The sequence below is a fragment of the Homo sapiens genome, chromosome 1 (genome assembly GCF_000001405.40).
Source record: "Homo sapiens chromosome 1, GRCh38.p14 Primary Assembly".
NCBI lineage: Eukaryota > Metazoa > Chordata > Mammalia > Primates > Hominidae > Homo > Homo sapiens.
This window is the reverse complement of record NC_000001.11, coordinates 175,110,922-175,131,488: the sequence shown is the minus strand read 5'-3', so window position 1 is coordinate 175,131,488 and position 20,567 is coordinate 175,110,922. Positions and strand designations below refer to the sequence as shown.

Genomic DNA, 20,567 nt, shown 5'->3' with positions numbered 1-20,567 from the left:
TGGGTATCACAAAACCCCCTTACCAAATAAGTTTCAAAGGGAGAAAAACAAACAAACAAAAGAAACCTCTTTGTGTCTGGTTCTATACTAGAGTTGTCATTGCATTCTAGAACTTACTCAATGCCCTGAATGACTAAATACAGAGAAAAAAAGTCAAACTTGCATTGAAATGTCTGTGGAAAGAGCCTCTAATGCATTAAGACTTTCAAGATGGAAAACAAAGATGGAAATATTTGAAACATTAAGTGTTCCCTGATGTTCTTTCCAGCCTCCCACCAGCGGCAGAGTTTACCTCAGGGCACAGTTCTTCTGGCCTATTCTTCAGATTGAGTTCCTGTTGCTTGGGATGGAAGAATTACCATAAAAGGATTTTGAAAGCTCAATAAAACAGAGAAACAGACCATGGGTCATCCTTCAGTGACAAAGGACTCTTGAACCCCCCCAAAAAAACTGTAACAACTGTCAGTAAAATGTTTTGTGGGGAAGTTTTCAGGACTCCATGTTTTCTGGAGCATGGTGGCTTTAAGTAAAACCCTGCAGAACCTCAGTTCATGCATGACCCCCAGGAGTCTGGCTCAGAAAACAAGACTTGGGGTGGGGTTGGGGCTGGGGAGGGTGAGAATGCACAGTGGTTTTATTATTTTTGGAACCGATCTCTGTGTTTGAGGAGGGGTCATTTGCATGAGCAGGATGTAAATGGCAAGCTCCTTGGGGGCAGGGATTTCTGTTGGTTTGGTTCACTGCTGGATCTTGAGTACATGAAGCAGTGCCGACACATAGTAGGCACTCAATAAATATATGTGCAATAAGTCATGACTATTCCAGGGCAGACAGACTGACAGATCTCTTTCTAAATGTTGCCCCAGATAACTCCTTCTGTGTGGGAGCTTGGCTTACAAAAAGGCCACACTAGACAATACAAACGTCCTGCCAAAAGTCAATTACAGGCACAAAGGCAGGAAATTGGGCTGCAGGCCTGAAGGGACAGAATGCTTAGCCTTACAATGGTGCTGATGAAAAGCAGCAGGTACAGCCCTATGGGTCTGGTCAGGTGGAAGACCTCCCATGTTACATTCTGCTCTGTTGTTTTTATAAATCAATCGGGAATTTCCCCCAGCCAATCCAATTACTGCCTTTCAACCGTCAGATGTCGCTGTGCAGATAATAAGTTTTCTTCATTGCTGCTCATCAGATGGTATCTTTTTATTCATGGCTGCTCAAGTGTCTTTGGTTTCCCAGGCCCCTGAGTGAATGTGTAAATGAATAAGGTTTGAGCACTATGAGATCATGCTCTCTCTTTCCCACAGTGAGTTGCGGATGCACAGCAGGTTAAGGCTGCATGCTGGCTTGGAGCAGTGAGAGTCTTTATCATTCAGGCACAGGGAGAAAAGGGGCAAGGGGAGATGGAAGGATCAGATTGCAACCCTCAAAAACAGCTTATCATATAATTGGATCAGGCTGATGCAATCAAAGAAGCTGCCATGTGGTTTAGGCAGACAATGGCCCAAGAGAATAAAACATCTACACAGAAGAGGGACAATTAGAGCATTGCCCAAGTTTCCGTCTTTCAGACTTTAGTCTTTCCAATCAAAACCTCAAAGGCCTTGTTGCTGTACTGTGGAGACAGGGTACAGAACTTGGACAATGGACTCCAGTTCAGAGGTCTGAACTCCCCAGTCAGGCTATGCATTCGCATCTTGGATGACCTGAGATGAACTCACTGAGAAGACCAATGATTAGGAGGCTGGAGTTTTGAAATCTGGTCCCAGCTTTGTCATTCTTGTATGACTTAGGCCAGGCACTTCTTTCTGTGGGACTCACTGTCCCTATCTGTAAAATAAGAAAAACAATCCTCTCTCACTTACTCTAAAGCTGTTGTGTGAGGGTCATGTGTACAGAAGTGCTTTGAAGAAGGTAAAATATAGGTAATACATACATATAAGGCATTACTAGATGATGATCAACTCACAAGCCTTCATAGTCATCAGCCTTAGTCTAACCAAGCCTGTTCTAGGACAGTGGTTAAGTACTAGGCTCTATCCTTACAGTTGATTGGTGTCAGAGGCATTTGAACCAGAGCCATCTTGAGTGAGTGCTAAGACAATGAGGCTGGGACTTGCTGGGCTGCATTCCCAGAAAGTTAGGTATTCCTAGCCTCCAGATGTTTATGGTTAAGGGAACAGATTGACAGTGTTTACTAAACAGACCCAGACTTAGGAATGTCCTGATATCTTGAGAACAGAAGCACTCCTAATGTTGCTTTAAATATAATAATATTGATTCTCGCAAAATATAGTAATTAAGAAAATTAATCCTTTATCACGAACCATTGTAATAGAGCACATCCCCTCATGATCTTTTTTTATCCTATATATAAACAAGTCTTGTACATAGGGTGCATGCATTCCTCCTTACTTTCAGAAACGCCCTACTCTGTCTATGGAGTAGCTGTACTTTCACCACTTTACTTTCTTAATAAACTTGCTTTTGCTTTGCATTGTGGACTCACCCTGAATTCTTTCTTACATGAGATCCAAGAACCTTCTCTTGGGATCTGGATGGGGACCCCTTTCCTGTAACATTGGGATCTCTCTAAAAACAGCTACAAGCCACCAAAACTCCTCTCTTCCATGGGTGGAGAAGAAATAGGGCTCCAAACACTCTATGGAGCATCCATGACCGGCATCCTGGGCTGAGAAGGAAGGCCCTACACAGAGCTCCCCAGGGTTCTGCGTGACTCACAATCCAGCCACCTCCGTCCGTTTCCATGTCACAGTACACCTGCAGGGGCCGGCTGGCATCGCCATGCAGGTAGATGGTGTACAGACCACTGGCGGCATTGCTGTTCTGCTGAACCTGACTGCAGTCCGAAGGGTGTGGGAAACGGGCACCAACTGGGAGCCAAGCAGAGAGAGTGTTGTTAGGACAAGGGCAAGGAGGAAAGAGGTGGAGTTTCTTCCTATTTTAAGGCAATTTATTTTGTTTGGAAATTATTTCATAACTTCCTACTTCAGCTTCTTCCAACTCTTCACTCATATCTTATTTTTCTCATCAACTCCCCAAATGCACCAGGAAAAGGTCAAGTTCACATCACTTCCTCCCCCAACTCAGCTCCCTCACAAAGTAACACTCTATTTCACTCCTCTCTTTAGCCTCCCCACTGTGGGGTGGATTTCTTTTGAACACACAACCCCATTTCCACTTCCCCATGCCTAGAGAAATCAATAGTTCTGCATCCACTTGCTCCTCCCTGGACTCCTTTGCTAGGCTTTCCGGTGCTGGTTCTCATTGCACGGTCGTTCAGAGTACAGGATTCCATATTACCTGTGGAGAGGGTGGTGGATACATTTCTGCTCCGGCGACCACCCTTAAAGGCAACAAGGGAGACAGGGTAGGTGGCGCCTTGCTCAAGGCCTTGCAACGCAAACCTCTGGTCTTCCCGTCCCAGCTGCATCTCCTACCAAACAAGGGAGAGATTAGACAGCCAGTGACTCAGTTTATCACCCACTAGCACCCTAGGTGTCAACAGCGTTCCCTGGTGCTAATGACAGAAGCTCTCTGAGAGCACAGTGTTTTGTCTCTCCGAAGCCTCAGTGGCAGCCCAGAATCGCAGTGGGTCCCAGCCACTTCTCTGGAGAGCCATGCCATGGAGAGTCAGCACTACTGGGAGCATCAGCTGAGAACCAGCACCCAGGACTGCAGCTTCAGGATCACCGGCCAAGTTTCTGGGAGACTTTGGCCTTCAGATACACACAGGGGCTCTAACTATAGTGGCTACATTGCCAGCAGGAACAGGCTGGCAATGCCGCGCTAAGGAGAAATTAATAGGGGAGGTGAAACTGGCCACTGATATCTGAGACAAGGAGATAGTTGATATTTCAATAAACTTCCTTCTGAACCAGTCTTACTTCCTCTATAAACATAGGGCTAACCTTCCTAGCTGTGCTGTCATAAGCACTAATTAAGGTAACACATAAACCTAAGTGTCCTTCCTGTTTTTATTTCCTCCCTTCTTTCTTCATTGGCAAGGAGGGAGAATAATAATTTTCCATTGGGACAGGTTTTGAAAATTTGCTGGCCTTCAGATTCTAAGGGGAGGTATAACCCTTGAAATAAGGGTTAATCAATTTGTTCAATAAATATATATCGAACACCTACCATGTGCTAAGCACTGTCCTATGCACTTTAGATATGGTGATAAATGAAACAGACAAACATAGAGCTTACATTTATTGGGGAAGACTAACAATAAACAAAATAACCCGGGGCAGATGTACAACCAGCAATGTGATCAGTAAAGATCAGCAAGTTGCCGTGAGGCCAGCAAATGAGCTGATTGGCCCAAGTTAGTTGCTTCACACAGAAGAGAAGGCACCAGGAGAAAAGACAAGGAATCCCCGTACCTTAACTGTGCCATCTGGGAACTGGTAAGTCAGAATGTAGCCGTGGATCTGAGCAGAGGGGGGCGTCCAGGTCAATATGCCACCAGACTGCGTTACAGCAGATGGACGAAGGTTTCTGGGAGGGTCGAGTTCTGTACGTAGAAAGTCAGGTAATTGTTATTACTAAGATACAACTGAGGCAAGGTAATTTTTGAGACATCAGTTTATATTTTCCCCTTTTCAAACCCTCCCATTTCTCCTCCTTCTTTCAAGCAGTTTGCAGGCTCTCTTCCTCCCTGCCACAGGGCCTTTCTGACCTTTGTTTCTACAAGTACAGACCCATTAGAGACAAGAAGAACAGGGCGTTGGGTGGGTCCCAGAGGAAAGGAATCTGGGCCCCCATTTCCCAGGCAGGTTCCCACAAAGTGGTGGATATTAACAGCCTAGATTGGCAGATAGATCCTCAGAGATGGCAGGGCTCCCAAAAGGATGTGGAAAGATAAGAGGGCCACAGATCTGAAAGGGCCATGCACAAAGAAACCAGGGTGACTTGGCCCGCCTGGAAAGTTGCCTGAAATGCTGGATGGGCCCCAATGCCTGTCACTGGGAAACTACCCAAGACTTACATACAGCCCTGAGGAAGGAGCTTACCCTAAGTAGAATATGGGCTTATGATTGAAATTAAGTTGGCATAGAAACAAAAAGTTGGCCAGGCACGGTGGCTCATGCCTGTAATCCCAGCACTTCGGGAGGCCAAGGCAGGCGGATCACAAGGTCAAGAGTTCGACACCAGCCTGGCCAATATGATGAAATCCTATCTCTACCAAACATACAAAAATTAGCCGGGTATGGTGGTGGTCGCCTGTCATCCCAGCTACTCGGGAGGCTGAGGCAGGAGAATTGCTTGAACTCGGGAGGCGGAGGTTGCAGTAAGCCAAGATCACGTCACTGCACTCCAGCCTGGGTGACAGAGCAAGACTCTGTCTTAAAAAAAAAAAAAAAGAAAGAAACAAAAAGTTATGTTTCTTACATACTGTTACATATTGAAGTGTGTGGCCTTAGATGCATACCCAGTAGAGAAAGAAGAGAAGGAGAAGGCAAGGGAACAGGTGCTTGTATAGAGGAGAGAGAGAGAGAGAGAGAAGGAAAGAAAGAAAGGGAGAGAAGCGAGAGAAAGAAAGAAAGAGAAGAGAGAGAGAGCGGGAGAGAGAAAGAAAGAAAAAAAGAAAAGAAAGAAAGAAAAAGAAAAAAGAAAGAAAGAAAAAGAAAAAAGAAAGAAAGAAAGGAGGGAGGGAGGGAAGGAAGGAAGGAGAGAGAGAAAAGAAGAGAGAAAGGGAGGGAGAGAGAGAGAAAGAAAGAAAGAAAGAAAGAAAGAAAGAAAGAAAGAAAGAAAGAAAGAAAGAGAGAAAAAAGAGAGAAAGAAAGGAGGGAGGGAGGGAGAGAAGGAAGGAAGGAAGGAGAGAGAGAAAAGAAGAGAGAAAGGGAGAGAGAGAGAGAAAGAAAGAAAGAGAAAGAAAGAGGGAGAGAGAGAGAAGGAAGGAAAAGAGAAGAAAGGAAGAGGTGGGGGAGGGAAGAGGGAAAGAGAAGGGATATAGGAAAAGCAGAGCTCTTCTTCTATGTACTTCCTCACCCAAACACTAGAGGGAACGCGTGGGTAAGCAAGTGTGCACTGTAGACCAGGAAAACAGAAGCTCAGCAAAAATACTGGTCAACATCACTGGTCAGAAGGCTCTTTTTTTTTTTAACCAAAGAAGATATGAATGGAAATTTCTCTTTTGAAAAAGCATTATCATAGAAGGTTATTTTAATTTATAACTTCCCAAAAAGACGTCTCCAGGCTATTTTCTACCCAGTAGCATTTCAGCTGAGAGCTGAATTGCAGTATTTTAATAGAAATCAGACAGCTGTTGTTTTGAATTAGGATGTTTTGACAAATTTTGAGTTTCTGTAATATCAACTTGGTTTGATTTTCTAAAGCATAACATCTGGCATGGATTTTATTCTATTCGTCTCACAGAAAAACTGAATTTCCTGATTTCACAATCAAGGCAAAACTGTGGCTATTTTAACATCTTAAGCAATCTCCTGCCACCTCTTTGACTGCCCACCACTCCCTGGTTATGGACTTGAGATGTCTGTCTTAGTTACTTTCACATTTCTATGAAGCAGGAAAATGAGAATCTTTTTATTGCTGTCTTCAAAAATGGAGAAGGTGAACCCAAGAGAAGATAAACAAGGAAGAGGAGAAGAAAGGAATAAGAGAGAAAGGAACAGAGAAAGGAAGGGGAGAAGGAGGTAGGAAGTGGGAAAGAGGGAAGAAGGGAGAACTGGCTACTGGTTGCATCTGGAGAGCAACCCTGCATACTAGGGAGTCCAGGACAGAGAGAGGAGTTTGTTTGTTTGTTTGTTTGTTTGTTTGCTTTTGAGATGGAGTCTCGCTCTTTGTTGCCCAGGCTGGAGTGCAATGGCGCAATCTTGGCTCACTGCAACCTCCTCCTCCTGGGTTCAAGCAATTCTCCTGTCTCAGCCTCCCAAGTAGCTGGGATTACAGGCACCTGCCACCACACCCAGCTAATTTTTGTATTTTTAGTAGAGACGGGGTTTCTCCATGTTGGTCAGGCTGGTCTCAAACTCCTGACCTCAGGTGATCCACCAGCCTTGACCTCCCAAAGGGCTGGGATTACAGGCATGAGCCACCGCGCCTGGCCGTTTTTGTTTTGTTTTGTTTTGTTTTAACACGTCTCTATTTAGTTTGAAAATATTTACTATAAGCATATATTACTTTTTAGATTAAAAATGCAAGCTAATTTTAACTAATAAAAACCATAGAGAAATTCAAGCCATCTCTAGGTCCCGTGGCAACACTTGGTGCGCTCAGCCATGGATGGAATGGACAGACCTTGCCCGTACTGCCAGAAGAGGCTCATAGACCTCAGGGTGGGCACAGTGCTCTCTTCCAAGTGCCTCTGGGTTCTGACCTCAGTGATGCTCTGCCAAGATCAGAGGCCCCATCACACACACAAAATACATGCAATTCAGGCACCTTTCATCATCAACTGAGGATGGAATGGAGAAAGATGCATCCCCATTGCCTCCATTCTGGAAGATGGAAACAGAAGAGGCTCCTGCCTCTGTCTTCTCCCAACTGCAGCTGAGGCCCAACCATTTTCTCCATAGCAAGTGTGGAGATTCTGAGCGCTGGGCCGGGTGGAGGGGTGAGGGAGGCCACCTTTGACACCAGCACTCACTCCCTCTATACTCTCTCATCTTATCTGAGCTGTTGTGTCAACTTAATTAGCTCAAAGACGTAAAAAAGGAACCACTTTGAAGAATGTCCTCGGGTAAAGCAACCACCCTCCTGCTCCCCTCCCCAGCCCACTGATGGAGGAAGGTTCTCTCCTGATAAGTGTGAGGTGTTCCCCTGGCCTGGTCCCTCTCAGTACCTGTCTGGGCCTTGGTGTCAGCCTTCTTGCTCTCCTGGGCCCCCTTCTGGGCCCACACGTGCACCATGTACTCCATGCCTGGTCTCAGGCCCGTCAGGACAGTGCTGCTGTGCTCCTTCCCCACCGGAACCTCCCTGGTCTCTCCGTCAGCAGAGGTGTAGCGCACCATGTACTTGTCAATGGTGGCCTGAACCGGGTCCCAGGAGACAGTGGCCATATTCTCCGTCACCCAGTCAGTCACTAGGTTTTTGGGGCCGTCAATTTCTTTTTAAAAAGATTTAGAAAAGGCTGAACTTTAGAACAAAGGAAGACATCGCATCTTACCACCTCATCACCAGGAGCTCTCCATCATGTTATCATTAATAATGGTAGAATTCCACTTAAAACACGAGTCAAAGGCCCCTGGTCTCCATTTCCAAGGAAACAAACCACTGGATATAAAACTGGAAGGAATCAGATCATCTCCCACTTTTTAATATAAAAAATTTCTGTCCTTGTAATTCTCATCAAAATAACAATAAAACTTCCTGAGCAACAAGATAAGCCACCAAAACTGCTGTGGATATAACCTCTTTTCTGATCTCCCTGGTATCTAGTTATTTTGTTTCACAGAATTTGAGAGCCAAGAAGTCATATCCTCCAACCTTTCCGACTTATAAAAGGGGAGGAGAATGGAGGCCCAGGGAAATGGAAGGTCTAGGCCAAGTTCCTGTTGACATCTTATGTTAAAGCCAAGACTCTTCGCTCTGAATTTTAGGCCTTCCCACCCTCTCAAGGACTTTGCTGCAGATCTGCCCTTTCTCTCCTGTGTCATCAATCTCTTCTTCTCTGTCATCAGTCCCAGACAAGCAAGGTCTAGAATCCCCCATCCTCTCCCGTATCATTCCATTTCTCTGCAACCTTAAACTGACAGATTGTCTCAAGAGAAATGTCTACATACCTTAACTTCACTGCTCACTCTCCAATCAATCCTGTTTGCATCTTTCTATGCCACACAACTAAATCTGCTAGTCTAAGTCACCAACAACATCCGTGTTGCCACATCTAATGCATACTTGCCATTCTCAACTTTACACTGCTTCTGGGTGGCATTTGGCAGAGCTGATCCACTCCTTCCTTCTTGAAACACTCTCAACCCTTGGCTTCCATGACTACATACTCCCTTGATTTTCCTAACTCACTGGCTCTTCTTCAGTCCTTTGTTAGCAACCTTCAAACACTGGAGCACCCAAAGCTCCCTTTCTCTGTTATTTGTTGTGTTTTGTTTTGTTTTGTTGATACAGAGTCTCGGTCTTTCACCCAAGCTGGAGAGCAGTGGTGCCATCATAGGTCACTGCAGCCTTGACCTCCCAGGCTCAAGCAATCCTCCCACCTCAGCCTCCAGAGTAGCTGGGAATACAGGTGCATGCCACCACACTCAGCCAATTTTTGTATTTTTTTTTTTTGTAAAGACAGGATTTCACCAGGCTGGTCTTGAACTCCTGAGCTCAAGCAATTCACCTACCTCAGCCTCCAAAAGTTCTGGGATTACAGGTGAGAGTCACTGCACCTGTCCCAAAGCTCCCTCTTTTCCTCTCTGTACTTTTCCACCTAGGTGATCTCACTCATGCCCATGGCTTTAAATACCAACTGGATGCTAATCGCTCCACAATATCTATTAATTCTGAGCCCCTGACTAGTTTATACAACTGCATCTCCACCACGGTGCCTGGCCTGTATTAGACACTCAATAAATATTTATGTAATCAATAAATGAATCACTCAATTAACCAAGGAATCTCACAAGTATCTTGAACTTAAATATTTAAAAGTCTTGATGCTTCTCCCCAAACTTTTTATTTCTCAGTCTCCCCTCTCAAGAAATGGTAGTCCAATCTCCCATGTTGCTCAAATAAAAAACACAGGTCATACTTGAGTCCTCATTTTCTTCCTACCCCACATCTATCAACAGGTATTATCATCCATACCTCAAAAATATATTCCAGACATCCCCTCTTCTCTGTCCCTTTTGCCATCATGCTTACCTAGACAAGCAGCATTTTGCACCCAGACTTTTCTAGCAGCTTCCCTACGAACCTCCCAACTTCTATCCTTGTCATTTTCTCCATTTATTCTCCTCACTGTGGCCTGGAAAATGTTTTTTAAATGAACACTGCATCATATCACTCTTCTAGTATTAATAAGTATAGCCCATTTTGTCCTCTAAGTACCACATGGTCCTGGCTGATCTGCCCCTGCTCCTCCCGCCTCATCTCAGGCCACTTGCTCTTCCACCCTCTATGCTCCAGCAAAACTGGCCTCTTTTCATTCTCCAACCATCCCAGGTACTATTCCAGCTGGGGGACATCACACATACTCTTCCGTTTGCCAGAAATGGCTAGTTTTTGCCAAAATCCATTCTCCCCCTTCTTCTGTAAGCACACTTACTGTCCAACAGATCTCTCTGCAATGATGAAAGTATTCTATAATCGGCACAGTCCGATACCGTAGCCATTAGTCACATGTGGCTACTGACCATTTGAAATGTGGCTAATCCAAATGAGAAAATATTTTTATTTTATTTTTAATTAATTAAAATTTAGGCTGGGCATAGTGACCCATGCCTGTAATCCCAGCACTTTGGGAAGCCGAGGCAGGAGGATCACTTGAGCCCAGGAGTTCAACACAGTGAGACCCCATCTCTAAAAGAAATAAAAAATTACAGGTTTAGTGGCACGTGCCTATGGTCCCAGCTACTTGGGAAGCTAAGGTGGGAGGATGGCTTGAGCCCGGGAGGTCAAGCCTGCAGTGAACTGTGATCATACCACTGTACTCCAGCCTAGCTAACAGAATGAGACCCTGTCTCTGAAAATAAAATAAAAATAAAAATAATTTTAATAGCTACATGTAGCTAGCAGCTGCTGTGTTGGTCAGGACAGCATAACCAAAGTAAAGCTGGGCACAGGGCCATCCAGCTAAAGACCTCATTTCCTAGCCTTTTTTGCAGTGAGGTCTGTCTGGGACCTGGCAATGGAACATGAGAAGGGCTGATATGTGCAATGTCCCAGTGATGCCCTGACTTTCATCATGCCTCTTCCCACTGGCTACAATGCAGACAGGGTGGTGACCAGGTAAAGGAGGGCAAATTGCTAGGGATGACTAAGCAACAATCACAGAAGAAGCCTGGGTCTCCTGGACGAGGAGCTACCGTATCAGCCCTGGACATTCTACAGAGAGGAATACACTCCATTCCTGCTGATGCAACTGTTATTTGAGTGTTTCTGTCTATGTATATCCTATTACTACTCACCCTTCCCATCTGCAAGACATCCTTACCCTGTAATTCTCTATACCTACACCATGTTCATCTCCTTCACAGAATTTAGCATAATTTACGGTTTTAAATGTGTTTTCTTATTTATTGTCTATCTTCACTCTAGACTTCAAGAGAGTAGAGATATTTGTTTTGTTCACCACTGTGTTCCCCAGGCCTGGCACTTAGATGATGCTCATTAAAAGTCAGCTGCCTACTGCAAGGAAACAGGGCTCCAGCCACCCAGGTGAATACTTGCTCCTTTCTATCACACAGCGTCTATTCGGTCAAACCTATACAAAATAGCTTGCCACAAAACAGGTTTTTAATCAGTGGTTTTAAGAATTTTATATTGGTTTTACATTATTTCCTATAGCTGAGAGACACAATGATTAAAAACACAGGCTTTGGAAAGAGTTTTAAGACATTCATGGGCCCAGGCGCAGTGGCTCATGCCTGTAATCCCAGCACTTTGGGAGGCCATGGTAGGCGGATCACGAGGTCAGGAGATTGAGACCATCCTGGCTAACACGGTGAAACCCCGTCTCTACTAAAAATACAAAAACAAAATTAGCCGGGCATGGTGGCGGGCGCTTGTAATCCCAGCTACTTGGGAGGCTGAGGCAGGAGAATGGCATGAACCCGGGAGGCGGAGCTTGCAGTGAGCCGAGATAGCGCCACTGCACTCCAGCCTGGGCGACAGGGCAAGACTGTCTCAAAAAAAAAAAAAAAAGAAAAAAAAGGCATTCATGGGACTGCTCCCACTGGGTCCATTACTATAGTTTTGTCAGACATGCTTGAACCAGAGAAACTCCATCTTGAATAGGAACTGGGTCAAATAAGGGTGAAACCTACTGGGCTGCATTCCCAGATGGTTAAGGCATTCTAAGTCACAGGATAAGATAGGAGGTCAGCACAAGATACAGGTCATAAAGACCGTGCTGTTAAAACAGCCTGCAGTAAAGAAGCCGGCCAAGACCCACCAAAACGAAGATGGCAATGAGAGTGACCTCTGGTCATCCTCACTACTACACTCCCACCAGTGCCATGACAGTTTACAAATGCCAAGGCAATGTCAGGAAGTCACCCTATATGGTCTAAAAAGGGGAGGTATGAATAATCCACCTCTTGTTTAGCATATCTTCAAGAAATAACCATAAAAATGGACAACCACAAGCCCTCAGGGCTGCTCTGCCCATGGCTAGTAGCCATTCTTTTATTCCTTTACTTTCCTAATAAACTTGCTTTCACTTTACTCTATGGGCTCACCCTGAACTCTTTCTTGCACAAGATCCAAGAACCCTTTCTAAGGGTCTGGATCGGGACGCCTTTCCTATAACACGTTGTTCTTTCTTTGGGTGAATGAAAGTTTTTTGTTTCTTTGTTTGTTTTTTGTTTTTGTTTTGTTTTGTTTTTACAGCAAACTCTCCTAAAACAGTCTGCAGCCCTGAGGTTACAGATGCCAAAAGCAGCTGCATCATCACTCAGCTGCAATAGATCAACCTGCAGCTACTACCCGGGTTTGCTCTTCTCTTCACTTCTATTACCTGTCTGGGCCTTGGTGTCAGCCTTCTTGCTCTCCTGGTTCCCCTTCTGGGCCCACACGTGCACCGTGTACTCCATGCCCGGCCTCAGGCCCGTCAGGACAGTGCTGCTCTGCTCCTTCCCCACTGGAACCTCCCTGGTCTCTCCGTTGGCAGACGTGTAGTGCACCACATACCTGTCAATGGTGGCCTGCACCGGGTCCCAGGAGACAGTGGCTGTATTCTCTGTCACCCAGTCAGTGACCAGGTTTTGGGGGCTGTCAATGTCTGAAAAAAAAAATGCTGACCAATATGCACTATGAACAGGTGCCAGAGTGCAGAAACTGGTGGTCATTTTGCGTGGGGTGAAACCCTTTCATGTTGTGTGGGGTTTCCGCCTCATATGCTCTTGTTTCATTTTTAGCTGTTTCATGGACATCATCTTCTCCCCCAAGATATACCTGGCTCCTCAAGTAGAAAGCACAATAGATCAGAACCTGAGAATCCAGGCTGTTACCTCTACCAAGTCTTTAGCAAAACAAATCTTTTATTCATCTAGTAAGGGTATATCAAGCCCCAACTCTGTCCATGAAATGTTCTAGACAGTGTGCAGAATCCAGAATTGGAAAAGACATGGTCTCTGCTCACCAGGAACTAACAATTTTGTGTCTCACATCATGTCAGTAAAGACCTCCCATTTCATACTAGAAGATTCTAAAAGCCACTTCTAAATGTAAGCCCCTGGAGGAAGAGGGCAGCATCCTATTCTCCTGTGTTCCCAGTGCCTAGTAGTGGGCAGGGCACGTGGAAAATGCTCACTATATATTACTAAAGGAATCCGCAAAAAGTAAAACCCTGGTTGAATATTCTCTAGCATATCATAGATTCACTCATCATGCTGGTTTGCTGATTAAATCACTGTACAAAATATGGTTAGATATCGCTTCCACTAAAATAAGAATATAACGTAGGAGCTATCCTTATCCTCAAAACTCTGGCCAACGTACACTCTGCTATTCAACAAGAGGAATACGCTCCTTTCTTGTTTAAGCAACTGTTATTTGGTTGTTTTGGCCATGTGTATCCTATTACTATTTCCCCTTCCTATCTGAGAAACATCACTACTTCATTATTCTCTATACCTACACCATGTCATCTCCTTCATAGAACTTATCATAATTTCTAGTTATAAATATGTTTTATAGTTATAATGTGATTCATTTGTCATAAAGCAAATGATATACATCTCCTTGCTATGGCAGATGTGACATCTACGTTCTTAAAGTCAAATTTTCAATATACTATTATTATTAACAAAATTTGATTTTCATTTTCTGTTCCCACTCACAAACTCACTAAGAGACCCTCGATACTGTCTACAGCAAAAGATCCATGCAATCAGAAGAGGAGTTGATGGACATGACCATGTAATCATAGCTTGGAGACTGCCTTGTGGCCCTGACTTGCAAGGAAACTAGTTAAAGGAAAATGAGGGATGGTGTGTGCAATCTGTTATGAAGGGATGCCATCCCACTCTTCCATTAATCATTGACTTCTGCCAATGTCAGAGAAGGAAAACAAAACTTGTCATCCACTGACTTAGCATGAAAGCTCTTATATTCCCAAAGAACAATGCTCCTTACCTGTCTGGGCCTTGGTGTCAGCCTTCTTGCTCTCCTGGGCCCCCTTCTGGGCCCACACGTGCACCGTGTACTCCACACCCGGCCTCAGGCCCGTCAGGACAGTGCTACTCTGCTCCTTCCCCACCGGAACCTCCCTGGTCTCTCCGTCCTTGGCAGAGGTGTAGCGCACCACATACCTGTCAATGGTGGCCCGCACCGGGTCCCAGGAGACAGTGGCCATATTCTCTGTCACCCGGTCGGTCACCAGGTTTTGGGGGCTGTCAATGTCTGAAAAAAAAAATTGCTGATCAATGAACACTATGAACTGGTACCAAAGAGTGAGATCTGGGCATTTTACTTGTGGTAAGGCAGTTTCCTGTTCTTATGGTTTCTCCATATCATATGCTGGTTTTCAGTTGTTTCATGGATATAGACCTTATCCCCACAGCTGGATTCTTGGATTTTCAACAAGGCAGCACAGGAGAGTGGTATGAGAACTAAATCCAAAGTCAGAAGCACTGGGTTCTAGTTCCAGCCCAGAGAGGCAGAGCAGAGGTGCAGGTTGGAGCCAGGTTACTAGCAATCTAATCCCAGCTCTGCCATCTGCCAGTTGTGGCTCCGGACAGTTCAGCTGTTCCTGGCTGGGCCTCAGCTTCTTCATCTGTAAAATCTGAGGTTTGGGTTAGATAAACTTTTAAGGTTCATTCAAGCATGAATATTCCATGCATGTAACTAATTTCATAACTTACTAACTTGTTTTTGTGACTTGGGGCAAGTTGCTTTACTTCTGTATTTGTAACAAGGGGTTGTTAATGATTATTGCACTTATCACTCTGAGTAGCTCTGTAAACCAAGAGAAAAAAATGATATGTAGCAAAGGGGCTTTGAAAATGTTAAAGTATTACAGTGTTTACCACTCTGAAGCCACAGAATATTTACTCTATAATTTAAAATATAATTAAGGGCAAACCTACCTCTCTGCCTCAATTTTCTCCACAAGAAAAAAAAGGCAGGGAAAAATAATATTAGTACATATTCTACAGAGTTATTGTGAATATTATATGAGCTAATAACATGTCTCCTAGTGTGACATCAGCAAGATGGCCAGTTAGAAATCCCTGACACTCATCTTCTGCACAAAAACAACTAAAAGAATAAACAACGACATTTAAAAAAAAAATAACTAAAGGAGAGTGCAGAATTCTGTCAAAGGAGAAACAGAAACTCTGGTGAGCACAGAAACTCAGGATGGCCACATAGAGAACAGAAGGAAACACTGGGACCCCACCACCCCATTGCCCAGGTAAGAGCAGCTGGAAACCAGGAAGAACTTCTCCCTACAGCAAAACGTAAGCAAGAAGATCCCAGTAGCCCCTATCAGCACCTTGTACACCTACAGTCCTCACCACTGGGATCTCCTACAGCTCTCAGAGGCACTAAGCCCAGCTGAGGGAGCTGCCTACAGGTACACAACTGTGCTCCCTCAGAAATGGAGCCAACACTGTGCCCCACCCCCTGTGGCCTGCATGGCTATTGTACTACACCGTCTTGGTGTCTTGGAACTGGAGCTACTGTTGGAATGTGTCTTGCTCTCGGGGTGAGTAGCCATTCACCCCTTCATCCCTAAGGGTAAACTGCTGCTGAGACACCACCACCCAGTGACCTGACATCTCCAAGCGGAGCTGTGAGCAACTGTTACACCTTTCCCCATGGGGCCAAGCAGCAGTGGAACGACTCCACATCCCCCTCCCCTACCCACTCATTCCAGAGCTGAAACTGCACGCTCTTTCGTGGAGAATCATTACTTTGGTAAAACAGCTCCATCCACTTCTGTCACACTAGGCAGCACTCTACTCGTAGGGGCCTGAGCTGAAACTGCACTAGTTTCAGCTCCTCAGGGAAGCTCCCCAGGGAACAATGCTTTTGGCAGAGCCCTATATCCCAGGAAAATGGTGTTGAGGCCATCCAGCATAGTCACATCCCTCAGGACTGAGCTGGAGTGGCACATTGCCCACTGGGGAATCAGTGCCTCAACCAAGCTGAGCAGCTGCACGTCCTAGGGCTGTGCTGACATAGTACCCTAGGTCCCAGGGAAATACAGCAGTGGTTGGCTAAGACACCCCACCCTACTGGCCAGACAACTCTAGTATTATTCTTCCCTAGAGCTGGACTAGGCCCCCTGAGTCTGAGCTCCTGAGACACTCTTCTCCCAGGGAGTAGAGTCATTGTTGTGCTGCTCCCTGCCCTGGTACAGCCCAAAAAACAGTGTGCTTGATTATTTTGGGATGCTTGCTGCTGCTGCATCTGGCCTTACAGAGACTGGGATACTGCCAAGTCCCACCATTGTAGAGTTTAGAATCCCCACTACACAATTCCTCACCCCTAGGGATCCAAGTTGCCACTGAGCTCTATTGGTGCAGGTTTCCAAATTACAGCAATTACAGCCATATCCTGCAACCTGGTCTCACACTTCCAGAGCACTTCTTCTTCCTCCAAGTTAAACCACGGCTGCACCCTGCCCATCAGGGGTAGAATTACAGTTACAAACTGACCCCCTGAAGCCAAGCTGCTAGGCACTATAGGCATCCTATATCCAGCCCTGACACAGAGATCACTCTGCATCCCAAGACTCAAGTGCCACTATAGGTTCACAAGACCTTGAGCCTAAGTAAGACCTTGCCCCACAGTTGCTTTGAGCACCTGTACTTGAAACCCAGTGTCATGGCAACTGCTTCTATGCCATGTCAGACCTGACCCCAAGAGGGAGACTTTCAGCTAAGTCTTCCCATTATGGAGAAAATAAGAATAGAATAGCCCTTGCTACCAAGGACATTAACAACCTATACTGCCACCACCACTACCACAAACTTCTGTAGTCTAGGCCACTGATATGCCCATAGTTATTGCTGATGTCAAACACAGCCAAAGAAGCTGCACAAAGACTATACCACCGAACCTACGTGAACCACCCTTCCCAACTGGCACATTAAAATTCAACTGAGGTAAAAGTATTTCTCTAAGAAAGCCACTCTAGAAAGTTTAGAAGAGGCAATTGTTCCACCAGATACACAGACCTCAATGCAAGGACACAAGGAACATGAAGAAAGCAAGAAAACATGACACCACCAAAGGAACATAATAACTCTCTAGAAACAGACCCCAATTAAAAAGAAATCGATACATTGTCAGAAAAGGAATTCAAAATAATGATCTTAAGGAAACTTAATGAAATTCAAAAAATACAGATAGACTATTTGATGAAATCAGAAAAATAATACATGATATGAATGAGAAATTCAGTGAAGAGATAGATATCACAAAAAAGAAACACAGCTAATGAATTCAATGAATGGAATTTAAAAATATAATGAAGAGCTTCCACAGCAGACTTGATCAAGCAGAAAAAAGGATCTCTGAACTTGAAGATAAATTGTTTGACATTACCCAGTGAGAGAAAGAAAAGAAATAAAAATGAAAAAGAGTAAAGAAAGCCTACAAAACCTAAGGGATACTATTAAGTGAATAAATATTCATATTACAGGAGTTCCAGAAAGAAAAGAGATGTAAAAAGGTATAGAAAACCTACTTAATGAAATAATAGCTGAAAATGTCCCAAGTCTGGGGAGAGATATGAATATTCAGATCTAGGAAGCTCAAGTCCCTAAATAGATTCAACCCCAAAAAGGTCCTTCCTGAAGTATATTATAGTCAAGTTGTCAATAGTCAAAGACAAAGAGAAAATTCTAAAAACAGTAAAAGAAAAGTGTTAGGTCACATATAAGGGAATCCCATTAGACAAACAGCAAAATTCTCAGCAGAAATCTTACAGGCCAGGAGAGAAAGGGATGATATAGCCCAAGATCTGAAAGGGGTGGAAAAAAAGCTGTCAACTGAGAATACCACACCCAGCAAGTCTATTCTTCAGAAATGAGGGAGAAACAAAGTCTTTCCCAGAAAAGGAAAAACTGAGGGAATCCATCACCACTAAACTGGCTCTACAAGAAATGCTCAAGGGAGTCCTACGTTTGGAAGCAAAAAGATGATAATCACAATCATGAGAACATAGAAAAGTATAAACTCACTGGCAGAGCAGATACACAAAGGAGAAAGAAAAGGATCAAGCCTCAGTACTACAAAAACCTACCAAATCACAATAAGAAACAATAATAGAAGAAGAAATTAACAAAGGATATACAAAATAATCTAGAAAACAATTTACAAATGACAGGAGTCACTCCTCTCCTATCAATAATAACCTTGGATGTAAATGGATTAAATTCCCCACTTAAAAGATAGACTTGCTGAGGCCGGGCATAGGGCTCATGCCTGTAATCCCAGCACTTTGGGAGGTCGAGGCAGGCAGATCACTTGAAGGTCAGGAGTTTGAGACCAGCCTAGCCAACATGGTGAAACCCTGTCTCTACTAAAAATACAAAAAAAAATTAGCCAGACATGGTGGCACATGCCTATAGTCCCAGCTACTTGGAGGGTTGAGGTGGGAGAATCACTTGAACCTGAGAAGCAGAGGTTGCAGTGAGCCGAGATTACACCACTGCATTCCAGCCTGGACAACAGAGTGAGGCTTTGCCTCAAAAAAAAAAAAAAAAAAAAAAAAAAAAAAAAAAAAAGATCGGCCGGCTGAATGGATCTTTAAAAAAATGACCCACTTATGTGCTACCTACAAGAATCTTCCTTCACCTGTGGAAACACATATAGATGCAAAGTGAAAGGATGGAAAAAGATATTCCATGTAAACAGAAACCAAAAGCAAACAGGAGTAGCTATGCTTATATGAGATTAAACAGATTTTTTAAGTCAAAAGTATAAAAAGAGGCAAAGGAGGTTATTATGTAAAGAAAAAGAGATCAATTCAGCAAGAGGATACAAGTGAGATTTATCACAGGGATGCAAGAATAGTTAACATACACAAATCAATAAATGTGACACATCACATAAACACAATGAAGAATAAAAAAAAATATCATCTCAATAGATGCAAAAAGCATTTGATAACATTCAACAACGTTTCATGATAAAAACCCTAAACAAGCTAGATATAAAAAAAGCATACCTCAACACTCTAAAGGCCATATAAGACAAACCCATATTTAACAATACACTGATTGGGGAAAAACTGAAAGCTTTTCTCTAAGAACCAGAACAAGACAAGGATGACCACTCTTACCACTCTTATTCAACATAGTACTGGAAGTCCTAGCCAGAGCAATTAGGCAACAGAAAGGAATAAAGAGCATCCAAATTGAAAAAGAGGAAGCCAAATTGTCCCTGTTTGCAGATAACATGATCTCATATATAGAAAACCCTAACAAGCTCCACCAAGACACTCTTAGAGCTGATAAATTCAATAAAGTTTCACGATACAAAATTAGCATATAAAAATCAGTAGTGTTTCTATATACCAGCAATGAACTAGCATAAAAAAAAAAATCAAGGAAGCAATCCCTTTTACAATAGCTACTTTTAAAAACACACCCATAAATAAATTTAACCAAAGAGGTGAAAGATCGCTGCAAGGAAAAACCATAAAACACTGATGAAAGAAATTGAAGATGTCACCAAAAAATGGAAATATATCCTATGTCTATGAATGGGAAGAATATTGTAAAAAAAATTGTACTCCCAAAAGCAATCTATAGATTCAATGCAATCTGTATCAAAATATCAATGACATTCTTTAGAAAAACAATTCTTTTTTTTTTTTTTTTTTTTTTTTTTTTTTGAGACAGAGTCTCGCTCTGTTTCCCAGGCTGGAGTGCAGTGGCATGATCTCAGCTCACTGCGACCTCCATCTCCTGGGTTCAAGTGATTCTCCTGCCTCAGCCTCCCCAGTAGCTGGGATTACAGGCGTGCACCATCATGCCCAGCTAATTATTTTTGCTTTTGTTTTGAGACGGAGTTTCACTCTTGTTGCCCAGGCTGGAGTGCAATGGTGTGATCTTGGCTCACTGCAACCTCTGCCTCCCAGGTTCAAGCGATTCTCCTGCCTCAGCCTCCCAAGTAACTGGGATTACAGGCACCTGCCACCACATTCAGCTAATTTTTGTATTTATAGTAGAGACGGAGTTTCACCGTGTTGGCCAGGCTGGTCTCGAACTTCTGTCCTCAGGTGATCCACCTGCCTTGGCCTCCCAAAGTACTGGGATTACAGGCGTGAGCTACCGCACCCAGCCCTTTTTTTTTTTCTTGTATTTTTAGTAGAAACAGGGTTTCACCATGTTGGCCAGGCTGGTCTTGAACTCCTGACCTCAAATGATCCACCCGCCTTGACCTCCCAAAGTGCTGGG

At 44.0% G+C, this 20,567-nt stretch overlaps 1 protein-coding gene across 3 annotated transcripts in view, besides 2 other annotated features; it reads right to left on the bottom strand.

The window, feature by feature from the left end:
- Nucleotides 1–20,567, bottom strand: part of TNN (tenascin N) — an 80,243-nt gene that overhangs the window by 16,587 nt on the left and 43,089 nt on the right. For 2 of the 3 annotated variants that reach the window (NM_022093.2, XM_017002048.2), the window contains exons 10-15: nucleotides 14,284–14,550; nucleotides 12,665–12,928; nucleotides 7,826–8,089; nucleotides 4,404–4,534; nucleotides 3,325–3,457; nucleotides 2,743–2,894 (exon numbers count right to left, since the gene is read on the bottom strand). In NM_022093.2, the coding sequence (NP_071376.1) occupies nucleotides 2,743–2,894; nucleotides 3,325–3,457; nucleotides 4,404–4,534; nucleotides 7,826–8,089; nucleotides 12,665–12,928; nucleotides 14,284–14,550 (1,211 nt within the window). The remainder of the gene's footprint in view (nucleotides 1–2,742; nucleotides 2,895–3,324; nucleotides 3,458–4,403; nucleotides 4,535–7,825; nucleotides 8,090–12,664; nucleotides 12,929–14,283; nucleotides 14,551–20,567) is intronic. The other variant, XM_017002049.2, reaches the window with a different exon arrangement.
- Nucleotides 398–1,304: an enhancer, noted in NCBI's record as "OCT4-NANOG-H3K27ac-H3K4me1 hESC enhancer chr1:175099321-175100227 (GRCh37/hg19 assembly coordinates)". NCBI's record gives its function as "activates a minimal SCP1, AML or CMV promoter by ChIP-STARR-seq in naive and primed H9 embryonic stem cells {active_cell/tissue: H9 hESC(naive and primed)}" and the evidence as "EXISTENCE:reporter gene assay evidence [ECO:0000049][PMID:30033119]".
- Nucleotides 1,305–2,213: an enhancer, noted in NCBI's record as "OCT4-NANOG-H3K27ac-H3K4me1 hESC enhancer chr1:175098412-175099320 (GRCh37/hg19 assembly coordinates)". NCBI's record gives its function as "activates a minimal SCP1, AML or CMV promoter by ChIP-STARR-seq in naive H9 embryonic stem cells {active_cell/tissue: H9 hESC(naive)}" and the evidence as "EXISTENCE:reporter gene assay evidence [ECO:0000049][PMID:30033119]".